This window comes from Homo sapiens, chromosome 16 (assembly GCF_000001405.40).
Source record: "Homo sapiens chromosome 16, GRCh38.p14 Primary Assembly".
Lineage (NCBI taxonomy): Eukaryota > Metazoa > Chordata > Mammalia > Primates > Hominidae > Homo > Homo sapiens.
Window position 1 is genome coordinate 3971852 of NC_000016.10, and position 27101 is coordinate 3998952.

Sequence of the window (27101 nt, forward strand, 5' to 3'; positions counted from 1 at the left end):
ATCGCTTGTACAGCTCACTCTAATCTGCGGGAGCCGGAGCCAGCAGCACAGCTGACTCGAGACGGGCGCAGGCCAGGCCCCTCCAGGCAGAGGAGGGACAGCAGCACATGGGCTAGTGCCAGAGGGAGAGGAAGGCAGAGCACAGCGTTTGCTTTCCACCTTTGCTTCCAAGGAAGAAAAGCCATCACACACAGCATGTGCACTCAGAAACCAAGGGGGCTGCCTCGCAACAGAAGGCATCTGTAAGAAACAGGTACGAGGACAGCTTCCCAGCTAGAATGTGTGTTTCCTATTTTAATACCAAAGGAACAAAGGAGCCGATCCTATTCCTAAATTCAAATAGCAAAGATCCACTTCAAAAAGAAGAATTTCTTTTTCTTTTCTTTTTTTTTTTTTGAGATGGAGTCTTGCTCTGTCCCCCAGGCTGGAGTGCAGTGGTGCGATCTAGGCTCACTGCAACCTCTGCCTCCCGGGTTCTAGCAATTCTCCTGCCTCAGCCTCCCGAGTAGCTGGGATTACAGGTGCCCGCCACCACGTCCAGCTAATTTTTGTATTTTTAGTAGAGATGGGGTTTCACAAACATGTTGGTCAGGCTGGTCTCGAACTCCTGACCTCAGGTGATCCACCTGCCTCAGCCTCCCAAAGTGTTGGGATTACAGGCGTGAGCCACCACACCTGGCTCAAAAAGAGGCATTTCATGTGACTAAATGCAGGAGTTAATTTATAAGTCATAAATGGAAGTTAGAGTAAAATACAGTGTAATCCGTTATCATGGAGAAGAGGGATTGAAAAACTGAAAAAAATAGAAAGCAAACATCACTTGCAGTCCTAACCAGCCAAACGTGGCTTCGGTTGACACTTTGGTATATTTCAGTGCCATTTAAAATCTGCCCCTAGGGAGGTGGTCAGGTCGGGGGAGAGGGGGTCAGCAGCGGTGGGGTTGGAGGGCTTCTGGGGTAGTGGTAATGCTCTACTTCTTGGTCTGGGTGGTAGTTAAATGGGTGTGTTCTCTGGTGAAAATGCACTGAGCTGTCCTTTTATGATCAGGTACTCTTCTGTGCATACTGACATACACATCAATAAAAGGTTAAAAAAAGATGCTAGGTGCTTTACTTTTAAGTACTAAAGCTGTAATCATCACTCATTCATTATATCCTAAGTATAAATCTTGTACATATTTTTACTATATATAAATACCTAGTTGTACCTATAGTACATATATAGTTTCACCTAGTAAATGAAAATCTTAAATGTTTTCCATATTTACTGCATTTTAACAGTTGTATTATTTGAGTAAATGTATAATCAGTTAATTTATTTATTATTGACAACTACAGTTGCTAATGAATCTTTTTTTTATTTTATTTTATTTTTTGAGACAGAGTCTCACTCTGTCGCCCAGGCTGGAGTGCAGTGGCCGATCTTGGCTCACTGCAACCTCCGCTTCCCAGGTTCAAGCAATTCTCCTGCCTCAGCCTCCCAAGTGGCTAGGATTACAGGTGCCCACCACCACCCCAGCTAATTTTTGTATTTTTAGTAGAGACGGGGTTTTGCCATGTTGGCCAGGCTGGTCTTGAACTCCTGATCTCAGGTGATCCACCTGCCTTGGCCTCCCAAAGTGCTGGAATTACAGGCATGAGCCAACGTGCCTGGCCTTTTTTTTCTGAGACAGAGTCTTGCTGTGACAACCAGGCTGGGGTGCAAGGACACCATCACAGCTCAATGCAGCCTCAAATTCCCGGCCTCAAGCCCACCTTAGCTTCCCGAGTAGCTGGGACTACAGGTGCATACCACCATACCTGGCTAATTTTTACAATTTTTTGCCAAAACAGGATTTCGCTATGTTGCCCAGGCTGGTCTAGAACTCCAGGCCTCAAGTAATCTTCCTGCCTTGGCCTCCCAAAGTGCTGGGATTACAGGCGGGAGTCACCGAGCCCGGTCCTTTTCTGTGTGCTTTGATTTTCTCTCCCTTCCTCTCAAATCTGTCCATCTTTTCGTTGTGGTTCTATTTATTATTTGTAAGCCTGGAAAGTTATCTCAGTTTTAGAGGCTTGAAAACTATTGAATTTTACTTTTTCTAGATTTTATATAGTTTAATTTTTATTTCCGACTCTTCAATTTATTTAGAATTTATTCTGCTGTTTATAGTAAAGCAAGGGTCAAACATTTAGTATTTTGGATTTCAAGTCAGTTATTTTATTACTTTTTGAGACACAGTCTCATTCTGTCACCCAGGCTGGAGTGCAGTGGCACAATCTTGGCTCACTGCAAGCTCCGCCTCCCGGGTTCACGCCATTCTCCCGCCTCAGCCTCCTGAGTAGCTGGGACTACAGGCGCCCGCCACCATGCCCAGCTAATTTTTTGTATTTTGTTTAGTAGAGACGGGGTTTCACCGTGTTAGCCAGGATGGTCTCCATCTCCTGACCTCGTGATCCGCCCGCCTCGGCCTCCCAAAATGCTGGGATTACAGGCGTGAGCCACCGTGCCTGGCTGATTTCAAGTCGGTTATTTTAAAATATTTTACAAAATAACTTTTTTCTTTGATTTGCGAGATTTCCTTTGTTGCATGCGAAAGTCTTACATAAAATTACATGACTGTAATGTCTTATTAAAATAATAAAACTAATTTTATTTTCCCCATTAGACATTATAACTATGATACAGTTCAACGAGGAGATATTTTCCACTTTCTATTCTAAGAATGCACGTATTGTTCCTTTTATTCAAGATCCCATTGTTTTCAGGAAGCTTCGAAATGGGCAGGGTAATACAGTCACTCTCGTTTATTCAGACAGAAGTGCAATATTAAAAGCTTACCTGAAATTCTGTACTGCGTCAAGGGGCGAAGTTAATACAGAACTGAAATTAAAATGCAGAAAAATATTATCATAAAGAGCAAAGAAGGCATTCCACAAGGCAACCTGAGAAGAGCTTGAACAAACTATGTTCCTTTTTTAGACGTGGTTGTACATCCACATAAAGCCACCTGCTCCCACCTCTTTCTTCACATCTGTGTCTCCCAATGCTGGGGGCAGTTCCCTTGGTAAAGCTGAGTTTACGTCTTTGTTTACCATCCCGCATCCTCTCTATCCTGCTGAGGCTTAGCAACCGTGATGGGATTAGGGGCTCTGAGGCCTCAAGTGGATGGAGGAGTTCTGGGCCGAGTGGAACTTCAACCATCATCCCTACCCCAGATCTGCTATTTGAACTCTGGGCACAAAGGCGGCAGAGGGGTCCCCCATCACTGTGGCTCTCCAGCTCCAGGTAGAAAAGCCCCGCAGCCATGACTAAAGGCCACGGTGAATGCCCGATGAGGGACCTGTGATGGATTTAAAAGGTAAAAAGCAGTTTGCTGGATTTCATACTCTCGAGAAAGAGCTCATCGTGACCATCGTTCTAGATGGCCATACCTTCAGAAAAATCCAAGTCTGCTTTATTTTGCTTAATCTATTCATTAAAGTTTCCTTTCAAGTACTGAATGACAGTCCTATTTTAAATTCCCTTTTTGATCTTAATTTGCAGGGAATTTAAATGTCTTTTGTATTGTGATTCTTTTCTTAAGTAAACTGAGGACGGATGCTCACACTGCCCATGGCTGGACTGTTGCTTTGCTAATAACCAAAGACACCCCGTGCCTACTCCGTCTGATACTGACAATACTGCGGCAAATAGAATCATTTTGTGCTTTTGAATGAATTCAAGCAGAGGTCCTTGGCAACAGCAATGCCACTCCAACGGGGCATTTCGGAAATGCCAGGGGTCCCTCTGGTTCTCTTAATAACTCAGGGAGCCAGAATGTTAGATCTCCTGCAAGGACAAGGAAGAAATGTCCCATGTGACTTTAAAACATTCTGCGCACCTAAACCCTCTGTAATTGTAAACAGGCGGTTCTTCAATACACACTAATAGTGAAACATTTTTATAAGCAGTTATAGGAAAAGCCCAATATTTGGGAGAAATTTATTACATGAATGGAAGCTTAATGGGTTTAAGATATCACGAAATATTTGAATAAATTGTTCACTGCTTACATTCTGTTATACAAGGTATTACTGTATTTCCAACAACACATTTAGTTGAAAAGGCTTAAAATACCCTGAAACCAGTAGCAAATGTGTAATAGGCAATTTTGAGACTTATTTTTTATTTTTATTTTTGGAGACTGAGTCTTGCTCTGTCACCCAGGCTGGAGTGCAGTGGCGCGATCTCGGTTCACTGCAACCTCCGCCTCCCAGGGTCAACCAATTCTCCTGCCTCAGCCTCCTGAGTAGCTGGGACTACAGGTGCACACCGCCATGCCTGGCTAATTTTTTGTATTTTTAGTAGAGACAGGGTTTCACCGTGTTGCCCAGGCTGTCTTGAACTCCTGAGCTCAGACAATCCACCCGCTTCAGCCTCCCAAAAGTGGTAGGATTACAGGCGTGAGCACCAAGACCGGCTGGGACTTATTTTTAACAAATCAAGAATTATTCAGTTAGTGCAACACATGAAAGATAGGGATCTTACTGGATGTCGCTAATGGCAAATATTTTAAATATAGCACCTATCACTGCCATCCTGTAAGTTTTTACATTTTTTGTAGTACAATGATGAGAACTGGGCTTGTCCCCAGAGGTCTACCGGCCTCCCTGACTCCTGTTTCTGTGTCTGCGCCATCCCATTCCTCAGCACCTACCAGTGATACGGTTCTGAAGGCCAGCGTCCTCCTCAGTATGCAGAGGATTTCAAAATAAAAGACCTATGTTCAGTGACTGGTCATTAATCCTACGTCTCATGACATCATATGGGGAACTGTTTTGACCTATTTATTATTTTTTGTTTTTGAGATGGAATCTCACTCTTGTCACCCAGGCTGGAGTGCAATGGCACAATCTCAGCTCACTGCAACCTCCGCCTCCCGGGTACAAGCGGTTCTCCTACCTCAGCCTCCCAAGTAGCTGCGATTACAGGTGCACGCCCCCATGCCTGACTAATTTTTGTATTTTTCGTAGAGACGGGGTTTCACCATGTTGGCCAGGCTGGTCTTGAACTCCTGACCTCAGGTGATCTGCCTGCCTTGGCCTCCCAAAGTGCTGGGATTACAGGCATGAGCCACTGTGCCCAGCCTGACATAATATTTTGAAATAAGCCCCAGGTGACTTGCAAGATCATCCTACGTCTTCACCTCCTCCTTCCAGGCTGTGACCTGTCCCGGTTCATGAACCCTACCCCACTCAAGGAAAGTCAGCACCAGCTTCCTCTCCACCTTCACATCCATCTGCAGCTCCGCTCTTTCATGGCCTTGACCATCTTCTATGAAATCCTTCAGGTCCTACTTTCTTAGATTCCAGCCCATTCATCAGAAGTCACCTCGGTATAATGCAATGGCAGCATTATGTTTTCCAGGATGTCTACATTCAACTACCCAGAGTGCTGTTCTAAATGATATTCTTTTTCTTTCTTTTGCATATTACTCTGAGGGCATCTCATTAGCTCTTTGGTATGATGTGTGCTGACAGCTATTTTGGGTCATGATGGGAAATATCTCTATCGGGGCGTGAGAAGCAATGTGCAAATGCAGCCAGGCCCTACGCAACCTCGGGCAAGGTGGCCACGCACCCTGGTGCCCGCAAGCAGTGCTGGCCGCGTACCTGTCTGGGCACAGGGAGACGTAGAGCAGGAGCAGCGGCCCGGCCCCCACGACGGTGGCGAGGGAGGACCTCATCCAGGAGCTGAGCTGGCAGAAGTTACAGTAGTGCACGACGGCAATCAGCGCGGCCGAGCCTGTGAACACTGGGAACTGCAAGAGGCGAAGGGTTAGGACAGCCGCCCAGGGCCACCCCGCCACCCCTGCTATACCCGGCCGCCAAAACATTCGCCACTAATCCATGTTTCCTTTTTTTTTTGACTGAGTCTCACTCTGTCGCCCAGGCTGGAGTGCAGTGGTGCAATCTCAGCTCACTGCAACCTCTGCCTTCCGGGTTCAAGTGATTCTCCTACCTCAGCCTCATGAGTAGCTGGGATGACAGGCTCCCGGCACCACACCTCGCTAATTTTTGTATTTTTAGTAAAGACTGGGTTTCACCATGTTGGCCAGGCTGGTCTCGAACTCCTGACCTCAGGTGATCCACCTGCCTCGGCCTCTCAAAGTGCCTGGGATTACAGGTATGAGCCACCGCTCCCGGCCTAATCCATGTTTCTGTGTAACCTAAAAATATCACCGATACCAGCTAATTGCTCACTATCTGCAGTCAGTCTTACTTTTGCTAGTGGGCAGTGTCAAGGACAGATCAAGCCTCTAGGTTCCCTACCCGGCGTGAGGCTCCCTGTTCACATGGCATCACACTCTTCTGCAGGTGTGGGAAATGGCACGTGTCTTCGTGGAAAGGAAAGGGAGGCCTCCCTGTTTGAGAAACGCTGTGTGATCAGTTTCCTTCAAAACACTTTTCCTTGGGGCCCAGTGAGATGTGATTTGGGGCTAAAGTGTCAAACACCATCAGCCCGCCCGGAAGCTCATGCTCACTTGCACCAGAAGGATCATCTCCCACGGCCGTGCTGGTTCCCTCTCCACGGAGTTTAGCACAGTTCCCTTCCTGATCAGCAGCAGCCGACCCGGGCACAAGTCAATTCTGTGTGCCAGGTATGCTTCTCGCATGGTTAGGAAAGGTGGGACAGACGCTTCTTTGTAAAATGTGAAGGAAAATAACTGATTTGGAACTTGATGAAGAAGAAGCCACACTGGCAGGGACTCGTGCCCACCGGGGACTCCCCAGCCCGGCCACTGCCCGGGCGTGAGCATCTGGGCAGGCCAATGCTAAGTCGGCTTCTAAAAAAGCTGGCTCAGGAGAGTAAAAGAGTTCGTGCCTCTTCAAGGGTTTATTTTATTTTATTTATTTTATTTTATTTTGTGACGCAGTCTCGCTCCATCACCCAGGCTGCAGTGTGGTGGTGCAACCTCAGCTCACTGCAACCTCTGCCTCCCAGGTTCAAGCGATTCTCCTGCCTCAGCCTCCCAAGTAGCTGGGATTAAAGGCGCCTGCCACCATGACCAGCTAATTGTATTTTTAGTAGAGACGGGGTTTCACCATGTTGGCCAGGATGGTCTCGATCTCTTGACCTTGTGATCTGCCCACCTCCACCTCCCACAGTGCTGGGATTACAGGCGTGAGCCACCATGCCTGGCCAAAGGGTTTATTTTTAAATTGCTATCCCAAGTGATTTAAAGAAAAGAGAGATTAGGGAGTCCAGGAGAGCGTGGAAATAAAACGGCTGAGCCTTTACTTACGTGTATGTTGGTCTCATATTCGGAGGTGACATGGGAGTAGACGGCCAGTGCGGGAAGCGACACCAGGATGGCCCCGATGCAGTGACGTGGTAGCCAGCCGGCGATCCACTCCAGCAGGCGCTTGGTGCAGGCCATGACGTCCTCCAGGAAGAACACCATCCTGCGAGAGGCATGGGGGTTAGCAGGAGCGACGGGGCCCGGGGTGGGTCATCGGCCAGGAGACAGGTGCGAGGCCGCAGCCAGCGCCGCCCTCTGCTCTCTCCCGTGTTGCCCCTGGGATGGGCGTGAGAGCAGGCGTGGGGTGGGAGTCTACCTCCCTCACTTTTGGTAGAAGGCAAGGAAGCCAGGCTTAGCTCATTGTACCTGATTCTAGGGTCACATGTTGCGTTGTGATAAAATATGCTTGTGAAAAGCACATGCTTCGCTCGCCTAACAGAACACGTGAGAGTATCACAGGCCCTGAGGAGAGTCTCCTGGGGGCCACCACGTTGCCGTCACCGGCTCCCATCAGCTTCTGAGGCAGGAGGTCTTGACGGGGGCAGCTTTGGAGGCGTCCTGGAATTCTGTGGAGCCCGTGCAGTTGTCGCAGCAGAAGAGGCGGTCCTGGCATCTGGTGGGCAGGCGCCAGGGACAGAGCTGTCCTGCATGTGGGCAGGTGCCACCCAGGGAGGTTCTGCCCTGCACCCCACACAGCAGCCAAGCCCCTGGGCACCTGCAAAGGCAGAAGGCTGCTGACAGCATCTTAGCCCAGAGGCTGTGTCCCAGCTACAAACAGGGTGCTCTGTGGTGGTGCTGACACACCCTGGATTTTCTTGGAGCGCAGCTCCTGTGGAAACTGAGTGACAGTGGTCTCTGCTGTTTGGGGCATCATCATCAGTGTTTCAGAAAATCACACCACAGGCTGAACCTGGCTCGTGGCGCTTAGACCACCAAACCCGCACACGCGTGCCGTCTGCATCTGGGCTGTCATGTTCATCGTGCATGTTCACCTCTAGCTGGCGGCTTCAGGACTCTCCAGACAGCGGGGCTCTGTTGTACGTGAGGTCCAGCACCACGTATTTCATTTTAAAAGACTTTGTCCTTCTAAGCAGAGCGACTGTATTCACTGACTCCTTTTGCAGGCGTGTGTCTAGCGGGCTTCGTTTCAGGAGTGTGATGTTGACACAATAAAAGTTTCTGTATAAAGAAGCAGCTGAGTGTGCGGGCCAAGAACCACTGTGAGGAGGAGGAACAGGTCTTGGCTGAGTCCAAGGACCCCTGGGCCATGGTGGGGCCACATGGGGAGGTGAAGAGAAGGTGTGGGGTCCTCGTGGGGAGACAGTCCTTCTCTCAAGCTTGCTGCCAGGGAGCTGGGGATAGGCCTGCTGTCCCTGCCTCAGGAGAGGCTGGGCGGGGGCCGCTGTTGTGACTGAACAGCAAAAAAGCCTCTGGCACAGAGCCCCCCGCCCCCAGCCTTCGGGCCTGAACACCTACCATGCCTCTCCCTCTTGGCTGCGTGGTGTGGCCAGGCGAGGGAACGCTCACTCTCCAGCCATTCCCCACATGGACGCAGGCACAGCCTCACCCTTTTAGGGTCCTGGACAGCCCTGGCTTCCTGATATTTAAAGGATAATGAAGACTTTGGAATACTTCCAAGAATAACCACAAATATGCAGAATACAGAGGCCCTAGGAGGGGGGACAGAGGGAACCAAGTTCCCAGTCAGCAGCGGGAAAGATGTGAGGTTGGAGGGGGCCTTCATGCTGGTCCCTGAGACTGCAGGGATCTGAAAATGAGACCTCACGCCTGCTGGGGCAGAGCAGAGAGGGTGATGCAGGAAGCCTCCTGGAGGCAACGGGCGGGGCCTGGGCCAGTCACTGAGGAGGCGCCTGGCTTTCCTCCTGTACAGGAAAGGGATGGGGTGCCCGTATACCCCACAGCGCAGGTTCCCGTCAACCTGGGGTCCTCAACACGGCCCTCAGAGGGGCCAGGGAAGCCTTTCAGGGTCTGGGCCTCTCCCAGGCTTGACGATTCCTGGTAAATGGAACCAAATCCCACCACAGGCCTGTTCAGGGGTGCAGCAGCCACCACCTTCACCAGATCCTTGGGGAGTATGTCTGTGCAGGCAGTTCCAGCGCACCTCACCCCAGCCCTCGGCAGTCTACACCGGGGTTGCCCTCAATGCTTTAGAATTGGGTCTGAAGGAGCAGGGAATAATAGCTAAAGGGTGAAAGTAAAAAGGAATGGAGACAATGCTGGCCTCAGAGCCCTCAAGACGCTACAGCTACCCACATTAGAGGAAAACCTGGGGGTGGACCAGGGAAGGCAGACCTGGGGGAGTGACTGCCCATGAGGATGGGTTTCTTTTTGGGGTGATGGAGGTGCCCGATAGTTACATAGTGGTGATATTCATACAATTCTTCAAATTTGCTAAAAATCACTGAGTTGTCCACTTGAATGAGTTTATTGTATATAAATCATGTCACAATAAAGCAGATCTTCTTTTTTTTCTTTTTTGAGATGGAGTTTTGCTCGTCACCCAGAATGGAGTGCAATGGTGCGATCTCAGCTCACTGCAATCTCCACCTCCTGGGTTCAAGTTGATTCTCCTGCCTCAGCCTCCCGAGTAGCTGGGGTTACACGTGCCCACAACCAAGAATGGCTATTTTTTTTTTTTTGGTATTTTTTAGTAGAGATGAGGTTTCACCATGCTGTCCAGGCTGGTCTCGAACTCCCAGCCTCAGGTGATCCACCTGCCTTGGCCTCCCAAAGTGCTGGGATTACAGGCATGAGCCACCATGCCCAGCCTAAAGCTGATCTTTTTAAAGAGGAAAAACAAACCAACCAGGGGCCTGAGGATGTCTGGTTTGGGTTCTGGGGAAGTGGACCCTGAAAGGGTTTGCAGGCGACGGCTCCTTTGGGAGGGGTCCCCAGAAGCACAGGAGGGCACTGAGGCAGGAGGGGAGGCTGTGCCAGGAAGAGGGCTGCTCGCTGGGGGTGATGGGGCATGAGCCCACAGGGAGTTCTGGGAAACACTGAGCACACGCCACAGACAGCATGGCCCATGGCGGCCTCGGAGGAAGCTGAAAGGGTCCTGGGTACAGTGCAGGTGGGAAGGAGGGGGCAGGAATCCCAGCCTGCCCACCCCAGATGGGAGAAGCCAGCATTCCGGCGCCTCACGCCAGACTCAAAGCCATTCATTTCTGCCCTGGGATGTTGGATAAGGGCAGCAGACGCTCAAGGTCAGGGCTGCCTCCCCATGTCTGTTTGAAGCCCAGCTCCGGGGCACCGTTGCTAGTGGGACTCTGCTAGGCCGGCAGCCATCCTGTTGAGGGTGACAGGACCACCCAAGGGGCTTGTGGTGCCCAGGACGGGGACCACACAGGGCCACCTTCCTGCTCAGGAATACAGAGCCGCTGCGAGCCCCCTCAGGGAGCCAGGCTGGTCCCGAGGGCCCAGCTTTCCCAAGACGCACCTGTGGTCTATTCGGAGCCTCTGTCCCCTTTAAAATGAGCTGTCTTTTTATTATCAGGCTATGTGTGCTCTTTATCCATTCTAGATGTTAGACCTTGTCCGAGGCCTGATCTGCAAGTGTTCCCTCCCGTTCTGTGGGTTCTTTCTCTTTCTTGATGGTGTTCTTTGTAGCGCAACAGCTTAACTTCTGAGGAAGTTGGGCTTGTCTATTCTTTCTTCTGTTGGCGTCACATCCAAGAGACCACTGCCTGAGGCAAGTGCGTGGAGATGCTGTTTGGCTCCGGTACTCTGAAGAGGCGCCTGCTGTCCCAGGCCCACTACCCCCGCTCATGTCTTTTCCTTTCCTTCCTCCAGATTGTTTCCTATCTTCTCACCTTCTCCTTTGCAGTCTCTGAACCTGGAAATCTGGGGACAAGCTGGCAGCGGTTGGGGCTGTGGAGGCACCGCCCCCTCCAGCGAGGTGGTCCCCCCGCATCTGGGCCAACGTCAGGGAGGGAGGATGCTGGGGCACAGGGCTCGGGGAGGACACGGGGACCCATCTCCAGAAATCAGCCAGCAGGGACAGCTGGCTGGGGACCAGTCCAACCGCTCAGCCATAAGCCATGGAGCCAGAAGAGGGAGCTAACGGCTCAGAGCTGGAGACCCAGTCCACGCGGCGCTTACCTGATGGACACCGCGAGGGACAGCACCTCCAGCAGCAGGGCTGCACTGAAGACCGCCAGGGCGGCGGGCGGGGGAGGCACGGTGGCCGCCTCGTACTTCAGGAAGCAGGTGGTGGACAGCGTCAGAAACACTGTGGTCGACAGAAACACATCCAGGAGGGAGCTGAAGGTGGGACTAGCAAACGTCTTCACGGGGGAGTTCTTTATGACCTGTGTGGAGCAGGAGTGGAGCAGAATGACTGGGAGGCCATGGGCGGCCAGGAGCGCAGTTCAGATGGAGAAACAGGCAACACGTGCGGAGCACTGCTGCTCTGGGCCAGGCACAGGGCAGGAAGGCTCTCGGAGGGCTGTCTCCCTCTACTACCCCATTTAACACTGGGGAGTCCAAGGCACAGAGAAGTTAAACTTGCCCAGGGGGCTGGGCACGGTGGCTCACGCCTGTAATCCCGACACTTTGGGAGGCTGACGTAGGAGGGTCGCTGGAGCCCAGGAGTTCCCGGCCAGCGTAACACAGTGAGACTCCATCTCTACAAAAAACTTTAAAATTAGCCAGGCATGGCAGTGCGTGAGTGTGGTCCCAGCTACTCAGGAGGATGACGCAGGAGGATTGTGTGAGCCCAGGAGTTTCAGGCCGCAGTGAGCTATAATCATGCCACTGCACTCCAGCCTGGGCAACATAGCGAGACCCCGTCTACCAAAAAATAAAATAATTAGCTGGGCATAGTGGTTTGTGCCTGTAGTCCCAGGTACTTGGGATCTGAGGTGGGAGGATTGCTTGAGCCCAGGAGTTTGAAGCCGCAGTGAACTATGATCACACCACTGCAGAATTATACCGTTTCCGAAAACAAAAAAACACAAAAAAAACCCTGCCAGGGTCACAGAGCAACTGATTATGACCCAGCACATTCTCATAGACACATTATATATTTAGCTGCAAGATGAGTTACTGACTGGCGCAGGTGAGGTCCCTGCATCTGTAAGGCAGTTGGACGAGAGCAATGTGCAGGGCGGTCCTGCTGCATGGCGGAGTCCTAGGTTCAGCAGGTGCGAAAGCGGGGCTTCGTGGCGGAAGTGGCCGACGGGGATTTAAGTGGCACATCATCGCCTGGGAACCTACGGGGCCTGGCTCTGTGCTGGGGGCCAGTACACTAGAGAGGCACACACTAGTGTTCGGCAATTGAGGGGGAGAAATAACGATGCTGACACGTCCAAGAGGTGACCAGGCCCAGGCCCTGCAAGGCTCTGGGGAGGTGCGATCTCCATTGACGCTCACGGCACCCCACAGGCAGGAACTACCACCCATCTCGGTGTACAGATTGGGAGGCCAAGGCCAGGGGCTACCCCTAGGGCACACAGCGAACAAGGAGCCAGGCCAGGACTTGGCATGGACCGGTTGACTCCTGAGTGTGTCCCTAACCTAGAGGAAGGTGTAGGATCCAAAGGCAGAGGCTGTGGTTGGGAGAGGAAGGGATGTAGCCAGTTCAGCTGCTTTCCATTTGGCCTTGCAACCTTCTGGCAACCCCTGAGAGGCCATGGGTGTCCACTCAGCATCCCGGCCAGGCTCGGGGCTGAGGGCAGGAGCTGGAGACGCACGGAGCGGAAAGGTCTCCTGGCAGCCCTGGGTGCGGTGTGCGTTCTTTGGGACAAACCAGCTCCGGGTGCCTCGACCACTCCCAGGAACTAGGTGGGAGGGCAGGAGGGGCACTTGGACGGTGGGAGCAAGGCTGCCAGTCAGCCCTGATGCCAGGCTGGACCCTGCCAGGGCAACCTGGGGGTTAGGGTTTGGTTCCAAATTCTCTCCAAGGAAGCTGGAGGCTCTGTAGTGCCCAAAAGGGCAAGTCAGGTCCCAGCCCTGGAATCCCCTCAGAAGGTGTGGGAATTTCTTTTTTTTCATTTTTCTTTTCTTTTCCTTTTTTTTTTTTTTTTTTTTGAGATGGGATCTGGCTGTCGCCAGGCTGGAGTGCAGTGGCGCGATCTTGGCTCACTGCAACCTCCGCCTCCCAGGTTCAAGCAATTCTCCTGCCTCAGCCTCTGGAGTAGCTGGGAGGACAGGCACCCGCCACCACGCCCAGCTAATTTTTGTATGATTAGTAGAGATGGGATTTCACCAAGTTGGCTAGGATGGTCTCTATCTCGACCTCGTGATCTGCCTGCCTCGGCCTCCCAAAGTGCTGGGATTACAGGCCTGAGCCACTGTACCCGGCCAGGTGTAGGAATTTCAGGGGCGACACTGCCCATGCCCACTCACCTTGGCAGAGGCCCACGCACGTCCCCTTTCTGTGGGGCTCCATCTAGTGCCCGTCAGGGGTTCGAGTCAGGGCCGGGTGCATGCATGTGATGTCCCTGAGACATCACTGCCTTGCCCACATGTGAGGCCGGAAGGTTTCCACGTGGGCTGCCGTCCTTCTGAGAGCCCACACCTCCCACCTTCCAAGCCAAGGGCTCGGGTACAGGGCCTTTCCTGATTGGGGCTGCCATCTCCTCTGTAGAACTGCCCCATCCATGGACGCTGCCAGAGGCCCCGCTCCTCCCTCCACCTCCCTTGCAGTCTCTCCTGCCTGCCCTGCTACTTGCCAGAGACACCTGTCCCTGCCACAGCCTCCCCCTCTGGGCCACCCCTGGCCCTGATGCCAGAGGCTCCCAGGCCCATCTGCCCCACCCCTGTGCATCCCGGGAGTGCCACCTGTCCCAGTCCCACTGAGAACGACGCTCCCCCACATCATGACACTCTTTCGCCCTCTCTCCCCATGGGCGAAACCCAGGGACAGTGCCACTGGCTGCCAGGGCACCGTGGGCCAGGCTCCGCCCTGCTCACTACCCACATCCCAGGGCCTCCGGGTGCGGCCGTCCCACCATCATCAGAGCACAGGCTCTGCAGCCGGGCTGTCTGGGCTCAAGGCCACTCCACCATGATTAGCTATGATACCCACGCGTCCATGCCTCAGTCTCTTTATCCAAAACCAGGGATAAACCAGTACTTGCACCTTGTGGGCGGTGGGATGCTCGGCTAAGAACGCACCCACGTGGAGCCCCCAGCACAATGAGTCCCCAAACGCGGGCCAGCTGGGAGGCTCCCTTGTCCTGGCATCTCTCCTTTCCTCCCCACCGGGACCCTGTGGCCACCTGCCCTGAGTTTCGGTAACAGCCTCCCACCTGTCATGTGGCCTCCTGTCTTGTCCACACTCTTATCACCCTCCGAAACTCAGCTGATACATGTTTGTTTTTTTTCTTTTTTTGAGACGGAGTTTCACTCTTCTTGCCCAGGCCGGAGTGCAATAGTGCAACGGCATGGTCTCGGCTCACTGCAACCTCCGCCTCCCGGGTTCAGGCGATTTTCCTGTCTCAGCTTCCCAAGTAGCTGGGATTACAGGCGCCCGCCACCATACCTGGCTAAGTTTTGTATTTTTAGTAGAGACGGGGTTTCACTATGTTGGCCAGGCTGGTCTCGAACTCCTGACCTCAGGTGATCTGCCCGCCTCAGCCTCCCAAAGTGCTGGGATTACAGGCATGAGCCACCGCGCCCGGCCATGTTTTTCTTCTTTTTGTTGGAAGAGACAGGGTCTCACTATGTTGCCCAGGCTGGTCTATCTACTGGCCTCAAGTGATCCTCCTGCCTCAGCTTCCTGAGTAATTGGGATTACAGGTGTGAGCTGTGTGATCTTTGTAACACAACCTGTTCCAGATCCTTCAACAGCTCCCCATGGCCTGTGGCATAAAGTCCATGGCATGGGAGCCGTGACCTGGCCCCTGCCACGTCCTGCCACTCCTGCCCCACCCTGCCCCGGATGCGCCTGCAACTCCCTGGACGAACCAGGCTCTTTGGTATCTCTAACGTTTGTGGGTGCTGGCCCCACTCTCCAGAATGTTCCCTCATCCCACATTCCATTAATTCCTAGTCCCCCCACTGAGGCAGGCTCAGGAGTTCCCCCCTTGGAGCCCCCAGCCTGGGCTTGGTGCCTCGCCGTGTGCTGGGAGGGCACTCGCAGACCTCCAGCTCCGGATGTTGTTTCTAATTCCTGCTCCCCATCAGGCCACGTCTTTCCCCCTTCCCCAGCACCAAGAACAGTCCCTGGCAGAGCAGAGGCTGAGCGTACATTTGGTGCCTGGAGGAAGGCATGGCAAAGGTGTCTGCTGTTTGGGAGGCTCAGCAGTGCAGGGCGAGAAGCGGCCCGGACGCCTGGTTTGGCAGCCAGACCACTCGTGTCCGACCCCGGCTATGGGACCACAGCCACCTGTTCAGCCTTGCTCAGCGTCAGCTCTTTGGTAAAAGGAGGATAATCATCAGCTTCCCTACAGCATTGCTATGAGCATTAAATGAGACGATATTTTGCCTTACGGGCCACCAACCAGCCAACTGCCAACTTGCAAGTCCACTCCGGGAGCCATGTCTGGGACATTAACGGATATTCACTGTCCCTTGGAGGCTGACGGAAGGGGGCACCTCCCACCCCACGAGGCATGAACTGGCTCTACTGGGCTCACCAGGGTCTCTCTAGAGCCCAAGCCAGGACACCACGGAGTTTAATGAAGACCTGCTGGAGGAACCAAGGGAATCAGAGTGAGAAATCCCTTTTGTTCCGGGTGGGGAGGGCATCCACTCTTGACTTGGGAACACTCAGAGGTTAGGTTTGGGCCCAGAGGAGAGAATGCAGTCTGGAAGCCGCCAGGATTCAAACCAGGCTCTAGGTTCTTGTATTATTCCTTCCAGCAACCCCCTAAGGAGCACTTGTGAGCGCTGGGACTCTGCTGGAGGCTGTGAGGAGGGGCTGGAGGAGAGAGATGGGTGTTGGGACTGTGCTGGAGGCTGTAAGGAGGGGCTGGAGGAGAGAGACGGGGGTCCTACCTCACAGAGCTGAGCATCTAGGGAGGGAGGAACACGAATCCAGAACCACACACGGAAAGATTCCAAAATGGGGCACACACGGAGAAGGAAGTGTATGAAGGGAAGTACAATCCAGTCTGCAGTCGGGGAGAGCTTCTTGGAGGAAGTGGGATTGGGTGATGGGCTGAGAAGTCAAGTACAAGGGGTTAAGGCGGTGGGGGCGGGAGAGGGAACATGGAGCCGGAGTTAGAGAGAGAGGTGAAGGCCTCCTGGGCCCTTCTCAGGGGAAGAAAGCAGGGAGGGCAACAGAGAAGAGTCTCACCCAAGACTCCAGGACAGGTGGGACGGGGGCTCTTCCAGGGCAGGTCGGTGGGGAGTTCCCTTCCAGGGCAGGTGGGGGGTTCCCTTCCAGGGCAGGTGTGGGGGATTCCCTTCCAGGGCAGGTGTGGGGGGTTCCCTTCCAGGGCAGGTGTCGGGGTTCCTTTCCAGGGCAGGTGGGGAGGGGTTCCTTTCCAGGGCAGGTGGGGGACCCCTTCCATGGCAGGTGGGGGGGGTTCCTTTACCAGGGCAGGTGTGGGGGCCCCTTCCAAGGCAGGTGGGGGGGTTTCCTTCCAGGGCAGGTTGGGGGTTTCCTTTCAGGACAGGTTGTGGTGGGGGGGCCCCTTCCAAGGCTGGGGATAGCCTGGAGATGCCACGGCAGAGGAAAGGGGCTAGTAATGGCGAGGCTGCGCTTTAAGACAAAGGACTAAAGAAAGGGTTTTTTTCCTCCTTTGCAAAGAGACATTTCATGTACAGTTGCCACTTAGGGTTTACAGAGTGTGGGAAATCAATGTTCGCCTTCGTGTTCCCATCCCTTGGTAAAGCACAAAACTAACAGTGAATGACCATGTGAGAACAACAAACACATTCTTTAGTAAAAGCGCAAGGAGAAATGAACGCACCTCTTCCTGATAGCTGGTCCTGTAGGATCGCTCCAGCTCCTGATCCAGGAAGTTCAGGCTGAACTGATTAATGGGCGGCTTAAAAAAGTAATCTTTCATCAGGCTAGAAGACACAACAAATGCAGTCGATCAATACCCAGCACCATAACTGTGCCAATGTTTTCAGATCATAATTAGCTACCAAAACGCTGCTCATTAGGTATATTACAACAGCTGCGTCTAAAAGCGCCTGTGGAACAGACGCCACTCAGCTGCCCCTTGTTAAAACAGATCTGTGGAAAGTCCTTCGCACCTCAAAGCATAATCATATTTTGTGTTTCACCTTCGTTAAAGAATGACCATCCACCATGATTATAGCACACATCATCAGAACCTTGGTTTTTTGGGGTTTTTTTTTTTTGAGGCAAGGTCTCACTCTGTCGCCCAGGCTGGAGTGCAATGGCGCAGCGATCTTGGCTCACTGCAATCTCCGCCTCCCAGGTTCAAGCAATTCTCCTGCCTCAGCCTCCTGAGTAGCTGGGATTACAGGCGCCTGCCACCGCACCCAGCTAATTTTTGTATTTTTTAGCAGACGCGGGGTTTCACCATGTTGGTCAGGCTGGTCTCGAACTCCTGGGCTCAAGAGATCCACCCATCTCGGCCTCCCAAAGTGCTGGGATGACAGCGTGAGCTGCTGAGGCTTGTTTTTGAAAACACATTCCTAATGTCTAGGATTAGGAGAAGATGAAGGCAGCTTTTCTGTTCTTTGAAACAATCTTTTGTGAAGAACACGCAGATCACTGTGCTGAGAGTACTTACATGGATTTGGAGGCTTCAAACGAAAACATAATTCAGAACCGGCGGTCCTGTCATTCAGAGCACTGACAGTAATTGCCACCGTAAAAGCTAACAGGTTGTTATCACAAAATTGTGTTTATAGTTAGCGTAATTTTGGTGCTATTGTCACATATGCAGATTGCATGTGAAACCTGCAGAATGATAAAGCTCAGTGATTTTAATAGCAGGGAAATCAACCCCGCTTTCCATGACTCTTTCATTCATTTATGAATTGCCAGCAAATAGTAATATCCTTTCTATACTGCAGAAAATTACTAGAAACTAAGGGAACGTTAACATGATTTCAGAAAGCAAATATAGCTGTGTTAGCCTCTCTCCCTCATACAGTGACTATCAGAAGTAAATTAGACGAGGCTGGGCGCGGTGGCTCATCCTTGTAATCCCCAGACCTTTGGGAGGCCGAGGCAAGCGGATCACCTGAGGTCAGGAGCTCGGGACCAGCCTGGCCAACATGGTGAACCCCCGTTTCTACAAAAAATACAAAAATTAGCCAGGCCTGGTGGCAGGTGCCTGTAATCCCAGCTACTCGGGTGGCTAAGGCAGGAGAATCACTTGAACCTGGGAGATGGAGGTTGCAATGAGCCAAGATGGCGCCACTGCATTACAGCCTGGGTGACACAGCAAGACTATGTCTCAAAAAAAAAAAAAAAGAGTAAATCAGGTGAAATATGTCAAGTGCCTCATGTGCCCCCCACACAAAGTACGGCTCATCACGTGTGTTCCTTCCTGTCCTTGCAGCACGGCGGACACTCTCCTTTCTGTGACAGGTATCCAGTAACTTCCAACATTCTCAGACTCAGAAGAGAAATAATTCTGTCCCAGGACACTGACCCTCTCTCCTCCCCTGACTCAGGGAGTGTGGACTGAGGGAAGAGCAACCACGCAGCTGCAGAGAGGATGTGCACAAGGCCACATTTTAGCAGTCAAGTGGCAGAAGCGACACTGCTATTAGCTGTGCTGCTCCATTTATTTCTTATTTGTTTTTTGAGATGGAGACTCGCTCTGTTGCCCAGGCTGGAGTTGCAGTGCTGCGATCTCAGCTCATTGCAGCCTCTGCCTCCTGGGTTCAAGCGATTCTCCTACCTCAGCCTCCTGAGTAGCTGGGATGACAGGCACCCGCCACCACGCCCAGCTAATTTTTGTACTTTTAGTAGAGACGGGGTTTCACCTTGTTGGCCAGGCTGGTCTTGAACCCCTGACTTCAGGTGATCTACCTGCCTCGGCCTCCCAAAGTGTTGGGATTATAGGCGTGAGCCACAGCGCCTGGCTGAAAATCACCCTTTGAGGCATTATAGTGAAGACAGAGGCAAGAATCATCAATGAATGTTAAATCTAGGGAATTCTGATGGGGAATGAAATATGTACAAGATCTTCAAGTATTTTCTCACAGATTGCTTATTAGTCATAAGAGGAATATAATAACCCTAGATGAGACAACCCGGCACCACCTTGCCTAATTAATCAAAATTAGTATCACTAATGAGGAACAGACGGGCACTGCGTGTCCCTGGAGAGGACACCCTGAGGAGGACACGGCATCCCTTCTGCAGTCTCTGCCTGGCCAGAGGGAGAGCCTGAATCTAACCAATCCAACTTCAGGAATATTTGATAAAAGGACTGGACCTGTATTTTTCAAAAATGTTACCATTAGGCCAGGCACAGGCTCACACCTGTAATCCCAGCACTTTAGGAGGCCGAGGCGGGCAGATCACCTGAGGCCAAGAGTTCGAGACCCGCCTGGCCAACATGTTAAAAACCCATCTCTACTAAAAACACAAAAATTAGCTGGGCATGGTTGTGTATGCCTGTAGTCCCAGCTACTTGAGAGACCTAGGCAGGAGAATTACTTGAACCTGGGAGGTGGAGGTTGCAGTGAGCCGAGATTGAGCCACTGCACTCCAGCCTGGGCAACACAGCAAGACCTAGTCCTTATAAAAAAAAAAAAAAAAAAAAAAAAAGCCAGGCGTGGTGGCTCACGCCTATAATCCCAGCACTCTGGGAGGGTGGGGTAGGTGGATCACCCGAGGTCAGGAGTATGGAGACCAGCCTGGCCAACATGATGAAACTCCATCTCTACTAAAAATACAAAACCTAGCCAGGCATGGTGGTGGGTGCCAGTAACCCCAGCTACTTGGGAGGCTGAGGCAGGAGCATCGTTTGAACCTGGGAGATAGAGGCTGCAGTGAGCCAAGATCGCGCCACTGCACTGCAGCCTGGATGACAGAGCGAGACTCAGTCTTAAAGAAAAGAAAAGAAAAAGGCAGAGAGGCTTCTGCCTGCAACCTTTGCTTTTTCCCAGACAGCCCCAGTCGTACCTGTCTTCTTTGATAACGTCCACAAAGTGGGCGTCCGTTTTCTCCCGGATGTTCTTGAACCTCAGCGGAAGGAGAGCCGACTGGTCCAGGCTCACCCCTGCCCACCTTCCCTTCTCCTGCAAGATCTCACACAGAGAAGTCTGACTGTTGGTGAGCTTCTCCTCTTGGGGAGGGCTGAGGAGCCCGTTCTGAGTTTTGGGATTAGGTCCTCCAGAAGCCTGCCTCGAGACAAAGAGGACGCAGACACGGGAAGTGAAGTGGCACCGGGCACTGGGCACACACGCCTGTCCCACCCCGACCTCCGCTGCGGGGCGCTGCTGCACTGGGCGTGGGACTTTCTGACCTGCGAGGAACCCCCACCCCCCTGCGCCTACAGACCTGCTCCAATCCCAGCCCTGACTGCCCGTCTGCTCCTTCCTGTTACCCAACAGTGCCCAGTGGTAACGCTGGGTGTTCAGGCTGCCAGGACATTGAGACATGGGAAGAGTCGGTGCGGAGGTGGAGGGGAAGGGAGGAAAGTGAGGAGCCGAGGCCCCCAGAGTCTGCTTAGGCCAGAACCACGGTTCTGGGAGCAGGGTGCATGGGTCGGGGGTCCAGGAGAAGTATGACGAGGGGTCCAGGGCTGTCAGGGCACAGGCAAGGTGGATGGAAACGGGCTCGTGTCGTGGGTGTCCCCCGTGGCTGTGGGAAGGCATGGGATGACCTGCACCTGCAATCCTTTGGCAGATGGAGAGCAGATGGAGGACGAGAGCCCGCGCCCCAGGTGAGTCGCCTGCATGAGCCCCCGCCGACAGGCTCTCGCGGGTGGGCTGAGTCCTGGCCCTGGTGTCCAAGTCTGGTTTTCCTGAAAGCCTTCCTGCCACCGGCCCTAACTCCCAACCTCTCTCTTCACCCAGCCTTTCTCGCCGTGAAGACCCCCTCTTGTCTCTGCCCGTCTATATTCTCTCATAAACTGAGTCCAGCTTCCAGTACCACAAATCCCCTCCCGGCACTCGAATCCACGCATTTTAAACCCTTATTGGCCTTTAAAGGAATCCCGCCCAGCTCAGCCCCTGAGCGCTGGTTTCCACGTGGGTTGCTGCTGACCCTCCCTCGAGCTCCCTGCCGGTCTCTTCAACACCCGGAGGACCCGCGGGTGCGGAGTGCTGTTACCCAAGAGGAGTTACTCTCAGAACTAAGAAGTCGACAAGACAGGAATGTCACCTTGGGTGGATGCGCCAGGAGAGGAACTGACAGGAACAACAGCCATGAGCTTGTTACCTTGGTGCTGTTTTTATGCTCGTCTTGGCAGCCGTTTTGAGGTGCTCCTCCCTCGGCGCCGGCTTCAGATTTGGGAGCAAATGTGATTCCGCACGAAGGGCAGGTCTAGAAGAAAAACACAGACTGTGGGGACACACCCAGAAACCGCGACTGCCACCCTGAATTCAGGCAGGTCCGCTGTTGCCATCTGCCGTCACGCAGCATGGTGGTGAGCAAGGGGAAGGCACACAGAACCGCTCGGGGATGAGCTGAAAGCCAACGGGCAAAGTGACAGTGGAAACACACAGAAACCCGGGCACGAACGCAACAGGACCCAAAAATGGAACCGGGAATGTTCACTGACTGAACAATGGATCAACAAACTGTGGTCTATTCGAACAATGGGATATTACTCAGCCACGAAAAAGACGGAAGCACTGACGCCTGCCACAGCATGGTGAACCTCGAAAACATTATGCTCGGGGAGGGAAGCCAGACACAGCACAGATATTACGTGATCCCGTCTATGTGAAATATTCAGAAAAGGTGAATCCTTGGAGGGAGAAGGCAGATTCCTGGCTGCCAGGCGGGACCGGGGGCAGGAAGGGGGAGTGGCTGCTAAGGGGCGTGGGGTTTGCTACGATTCGAATGTTTGTGCCCCCTCAAAAGTCAGACGCTGAAATCCTAATTCCCAAGGGGATGGCATTGGGGGGCAAAGCCTTGGGAGGTAATTAGGTCATGGGGGACAAGCCTTCAAAATAGGATTAGTGCCCTCATAAAAGAGGCCCCAGAGGAATCCCTCGTCCCTTCGCCCTGGGAGAAGGCACCATCTGTGAAGCAGGAACGGGTCCTCACTGGACACTGAATCTTCCGGGACCTTGATCTCGGACTTCCCAGCCTCCAGAACCCTGAGAAATACATTTCTGTTGTTTAAAAGCCACCTGGTTTGTGGTATTTCAACAGGGTTTCTCTTTGGGATGATAAAAATGTTCTGAAATTGATCACGGTGATGGTTGCACAACCTTGCTAAATATACTAAAAACCACTGAACTGTACACTTTAAAAAGATCGATTTTTAAATATTTTTTGAGATGGAGTTTCACTCTTGTCACCCAGGCTGGAGTACAGTGTCACGATCTTGGCTCACTGCAACGTCCACCTCCTGGGTTCAAGCGATTCTCCTGCCTCAGCCTCCTGAGTAGCTGCGATTACAGGTGCCTGCCACCACGCCCGGCTACTTGTTTTGTGTTTTTAGTAGAAACGGGGTTTCGCCATGTTGGCCAGGCTGGTCTTGAACTCCTGACCTCAGGTGATCCACCCGTCTTGGCCTCCCAAAGTGCTGGGATTACAAGCATGAGCCACTGTGCCTGGCCAAAAAGATCGATTTTATAGTATGTGAATTATATCTCAACAAAGCTGTTATTAAGTAAAGAAACTGGCCACCAACTATGCGAGGACACAAATCCAAGGTTCTTAAGCTCCGTGTGATGGTGAGCTAGTCTCATAAGATGGGCTGAATAATCAAAGGTACACGATTTCCAGATCTAGGCGTACTTAAAAGTTTATAGGAATTAATGGACCTAGAAAAGAGAAGGCAAGATTTAATACAGGTACCCTAAAAAGAGCAAAGCCTTTATTTCTCATAAACTAGGATTCAAACCCTAGTCAAGTACTTACTAGTTTGGAGACTCTGTTCAAATCACTTTACCTCAGTTCCCTCATCTATAAACAAAGAGTGAAGATATGTTGCTAAGAATTAAATGAAATTGGCTGGGTGTGGCGGCTGTAATCCCAGCACTTTGGGAAGCTGGGGTGGGAGGATGGCTTGAGTCCAGGAATTTGAGGCCAGCCTGGGCAACATGGCAAAACCCTGCCTCAACAAAAAGCATAAAAATTAGCCTGGCCTGGTGGCATGTGCCTGTAGTCCCAGCTACTTGTGGGGCTGAGGTGGGAGGGCTGCTTGAGTCTGGGAGGTCAAGGCCGCAGTGAGCTTTGATGGTGCCACTGCACTCCAGCCTGGGGCAAAAGAGAAAGACCCTGTCTTAAAAAAATAATAATTAAATGAAATAAGTATATATATAGCCTAGCACAGTTCCTGGCATACAGTATACCCGTAATAAACTTATTATTATTATTAATGTGACCAGGTAACCTAGGAACCATCTAAGAAAGCAACTAACAGCTTCCAATGAAGAAGACAAACCGTGGCAAGAAATATATTTTTTTTTTTTTTTGGACTCAAAAGCAATTTCCTTGCAGCAAGAAGTGTAAAACATTGAAATAAATTATGGGAGGCCAGATATTATTTTGGAAATTTAAAGTAAGTGTCACTACCTAAGGGCAAAGATATGACCCAGGTTGTATTTAAAGTTAGACTGCAGACCTGTACTATATTAAATAAAAGAAACAAAGATTCTACAGGGTTGTATAGTTTGGGAATCTGATGTAACATACAAGCTAAATTTGAACATTTGTATGCATTCAAAAAATGAAAATATACATGCCAAAACAGCTAGCGAAATCATTAATTAACATATCTGAGCAAATAATGGCATCTAGATAACATTTGCTTACAGCTCTTTAAAAACTGACATTATCAACAGAGGTAAAATGTTCTAGTTATCAATAACATACAGTGAGTCTATTTGAAAGCACCTCTTGGTATTGACTGGCAGAGTTAAACTTCTAAACATTTTGCTGGTGTGCTGGCTCACACCTGTAATCCCAGAACTTTGGGAGGCCGAAGCAGGAGGACTGCTTAGGGCCAGGAGTTCAAGACCAGCCTGGGCAACATAGGGAGACCTTGTCTCTACTAAAAATAAAACCAATTAGCTGACCTTGATGGCACGTGCCTGTGGTCCCAGCCACTCGGGAGGCTGAGGCAGGAGGATTGCTTCAGCGAAGGAAGTCAAGGCTGCAGTGCACTGTGATTGTGCCACTGCACTCCAGCGTGGGTGACAGAGCAAACCCATTCTCAAAATACATATATATATGTATAAATATGTATATATTTGCCAATGAGACCACTGCTCTTATTAAATGTAAAAAAATCTAACACCAAGAGAAGAATAAAATAGGTGTGCCTGATACCCATGCCTAAAAGATGCCTGAGGGAACTCTCTGGTGTGGCTAAGGTGGGGGGCTTGGTGCTTGATGGGGCACACCAGCCATTTCAGGGCCCAACCGGTAGACCAGGAAAGGAAGCTGGAGGTGTGGAAGCGTCTGCTGCACTTGGCTCAGCCAAAGCCCGAAGTGCAAGTGCGTGCTCAGTAAATGCTGGTAGTGAATATGAAAACTTCTGTTAACTATGCTCTCTGGTCATTAAAGTTCATCTGGTAATTCAATGTCCTTGATTACAGACAGAACAGCCCTTGGTATCTATTCTTCTGTAGCCATTTAGTCACAGGAATCTCCTGGCGTCAGTCTGTTTCAGGTATTTTTCTTGCCTCAAGTTCATCTGCTGTGCTTTTCTCTCTTTTTTTGTTTGTTTGTTTTTTTGGGACTGAGTCTCGCTCTGTCACCCAGGCTGGAGTGCAGTGGGGAGATCTTGGCTCACTGCAACCTCCACCTCCTGGGTTCAAGCAATTCTGCTGCCTCAACCTCCTGAGTAGCTGGGATTACAGGCGCCCACCACCACGCCTGGCTTATTTTTGTATTTTCAGTAGAGATGGGGTTTCACCACGTTGGTCAGGCTGGTCTCGAACTCCTGGCCTCAAGTGATCTGCCTGCCTTGCCCTCCCAAAGTGCTGGGATTACAGGCGTGAGCCACCGTGCCCGGCCAACCCTCCTGTGCTTTAAGACGAGGCCGCCTGCTTCTTCAGTGCCCCCCACGGCACACTGGCTTTATGAGATTTTCTAAGCATTTAGAGCCATGAATGTGTCACCGTGACAGTCAAACCAACTTGGCACCAGAGGGCACACTGAGGACAGGGGGCTCCATGCCCTCCACAAGGGCTTCCCTCAGAGGGGCTGGAAGGCCGGTGCAGCCCGGGCATGCCCACTGGGATGAGGCTGAGCTCTGGGGGCCTGGGGCAGTGGTCTCCACAGGTGGGGAACTCAGTGCTTTGCTTACATCCCCTTGAACAGAGGCCGAGGCCTGCACCCTGCAGTGATAAGAAGTTCTGATACAGAAGTGAGGTCTGGCAGAGCCGCCCACAAATGGCAAATGAGGCTGCGCTTGCAGAAGGAAGGGGGCTGTCTGGGTCACATGGCCAGCTGTAGACACCCACGCTCGGGCCTCCTGAGGGCCGGGACAGTGCTCACTGCCTATTCCATTCCCAGCAGGTTTGTCCGGGAAGTGGGAGTATGGGAGGTGGGGGGAGAGCCAGGTGCAGACTCCAGGCCGCGCTGGGTGGCATGGTCCCACAGACCTGTGTCACCCGGACCCAGCAGCCATCATTTTACTGCACTTTGAAAATGCGGATTTTGGCTGGGCGCAGTGGCTCATCCCTGTAATCCCAGCCCTTTGGGAGGCTGAGGCGGGTGGATCACCTGAGGTCAGGAGTTTAAGACCAGCCTGGTCAACATGGCAAAACCCTGTCTCTATTAAAAATACAAAAATTAGCTGGGTGTGGTGGCACACACCTGTAATCCCAGCTACTGGGGAGACTGAGGCAGGAGAGTCGCTTGGACCCGGGAGGCGGAGGTTGCAGTGAGCCCAGATTGTGCCACTGCACTCCAGCCTGGGCGACAGAGCAAGATTCCTCAGCTACCTTCCTTTTGAGGGATAATTTTCTAGATAAAAACTTTCAAACAAATGAAACAAAAGAAATCTTAGAGCTGGGTGTGGTGGCTTGCTTGAGCCCAGGAGTTTGAGATCAACCTGGGCAATGTATCAAGACCCCATCTCTACAAAAGCTTTTTAAAAATTTTAGAAATTAGCTGGGCACAGTGGTGTGTGCTTGTAGTCCCAGCTACTCAGGAGGCTGAAGTGGGAGGGTCGCTTGAGCCCAGGAGGGAGAGGCTGCCATGAGCTATGGTCATGCCACTGTACTGCAGACTGGGTCATAGAGCAAGACCTTGTCTCTTTAAAAAAGAAAAAAGAAGCCAGGCGCAGTGGCTCATGCCTGTAATCCCAGCACTTTGGGAGGCCAACATGGGTGGATCACAAGGTCAGGAGATTGAGACCATCCTGGCCAAGATGGTGAAAGCCCGTCTCTACTAAAATACAAAAAATTAGCCTGGCGTGGTGGTGCACACCTGTAGTTTCAGCTACTAGGGAGGCTGAGGCAGGGGAATCTCTTGAACCCGGGAGGTGGAGGTTCCAGTGAGCCGAGATGGTGCCACTGCACTCCAGCCCGGGCAAAAGAGCAAAACTCTGTCTCAAAAAAAAAAAAAAAAAAAAAAAAAAAGAAAAGAAAGAAAGAAAGAAAAGAAAAGAAAAGAAAAGAAAAGAAAAGAAAAGAAAAGAAAAGAAAAAAAGAGAAATCCATCTACCCAATGGAGAGATTCTCACATCTCAACATCCCCTTCTGAGCTGTAGTTAGAGGCCCCTTCTGTACCAGGAGGGTCCCACCATGCAATGGTGGGTGGGTTTGTTTCCCTCCCCTGACCTCCTACCCCCCAACC

At 51.8% G+C, this 27101-nt stretch overlaps 1 protein-coding gene and 1 long non-coding RNA gene across 4 annotated transcripts in view, besides 5 other annotated features; one reads left to right on the plus strand and one right to left on the minus strand.

Annotated features, from left to right (window-relative positions):
* ADCY9 (adenylate cyclase 9) overlaps nt 1–27101 on the minus strand; it is a 163056-nt gene that overhangs the window by 18465 nt on the left and 117490 nt on the right. For 2 of the 3 annotated variants that reach the window (XM_011522353.3, XM_005255079.4), the window contains exons 4-10: nt 21498–21659; nt 20295–20512; nt 17143–17245; nt 11381–11589; nt 7265–7424; nt 5631–5779; nt 2818–2859 (exon numbers count right to left, since the gene is read on the minus strand). In XM_011522353.3, the coding sequence (XP_011520655.1) occupies nt 2818–2859; nt 5631–5779; nt 7265–7424; nt 11381–11589; nt 17143–17245; nt 20295–20512; nt 21498–21659 (1043 nt within the window). The remainder of the gene's footprint in view (nt 1–2817; nt 2860–5630; nt 5780–7264; nt 7425–11380; nt 11590–17142; nt 17246–20294; nt 20513–21497; nt 21660–27101) is intronic. The other variant, NM_001116.4, reaches the window with a different exon arrangement.
* Nucleotides 10074–10597: an enhancer, noted in NCBI's record as "H3K4me1 hESC enhancer chr16:4031926-4032449 (GRCh37/hg19 assembly coordinates)". NCBI's record gives its function as "activates a minimal SCP1, AML or CMV promoter by ChIP-STARR-seq in primed H9 embryonic stem cells {active_cell/tissue: H9 hESC(primed)}" and the evidence as "EXISTENCE:reporter gene assay evidence [ECO:0000049][PMID:30033119]".
* Nucleotides 10598–11120: an enhancer, noted in NCBI's record as "H3K4me1 hESC enhancer chr16:4032450-4032972 (GRCh37/hg19 assembly coordinates)". NCBI's record gives its function as "activates a minimal SCP1, AML or CMV promoter by ChIP-STARR-seq in primed H9 embryonic stem cells {active_cell/tissue: H9 hESC(primed)}" and the evidence as "EXISTENCE:reporter gene assay evidence [ECO:0000049][PMID:30033119]".
* Nucleotides 15391–15890: an enhancer, noted in NCBI's record as "H3K4me1 hESC enhancer chr16:4037243-4037742 (GRCh37/hg19 assembly coordinates)". NCBI's record gives its function as "activates a minimal SCP1, AML or CMV promoter by ChIP-STARR-seq in naive H9 embryonic stem cells {active_cell/tissue: H9 hESC(naive)}" and the evidence as "EXISTENCE:reporter gene assay evidence [ECO:0000049][PMID:30033119]".
* LOC124903633 (uncharacterized) lies at nt 20279–22473 on the plus strand. The gene is made up of 2 exons (XR_007064956.1): nt 20279–21057; nt 21191–22473. It is a non-coding gene; the product is annotated as an uncharacterized LOC124903633 (long non-coding RNA).
* Nucleotides 24807–25588: an enhancer, noted in NCBI's record as "H3K27ac-H3K4me1 hESC enhancer chr16:4046659-4047440 (GRCh37/hg19 assembly coordinates)". NCBI's record gives its function as "activates a minimal SCP1, AML or CMV promoter by ChIP-STARR-seq in primed H9 embryonic stem cells {active_cell/tissue: H9 hESC(primed)}" and the evidence as "EXISTENCE:reporter gene assay evidence [ECO:0000049][PMID:30033119]".
* Nucleotides 25589–26369: an enhancer, noted in NCBI's record as "H3K27ac-H3K4me1 hESC enhancer chr16:4047441-4048221 (GRCh37/hg19 assembly coordinates)". NCBI's record gives its function as "activates a minimal SCP1, AML or CMV promoter by ChIP-STARR-seq in primed H9 embryonic stem cells {active_cell/tissue: H9 hESC(primed)}" and the evidence as "EXISTENCE:reporter gene assay evidence [ECO:0000049][PMID:30033119]".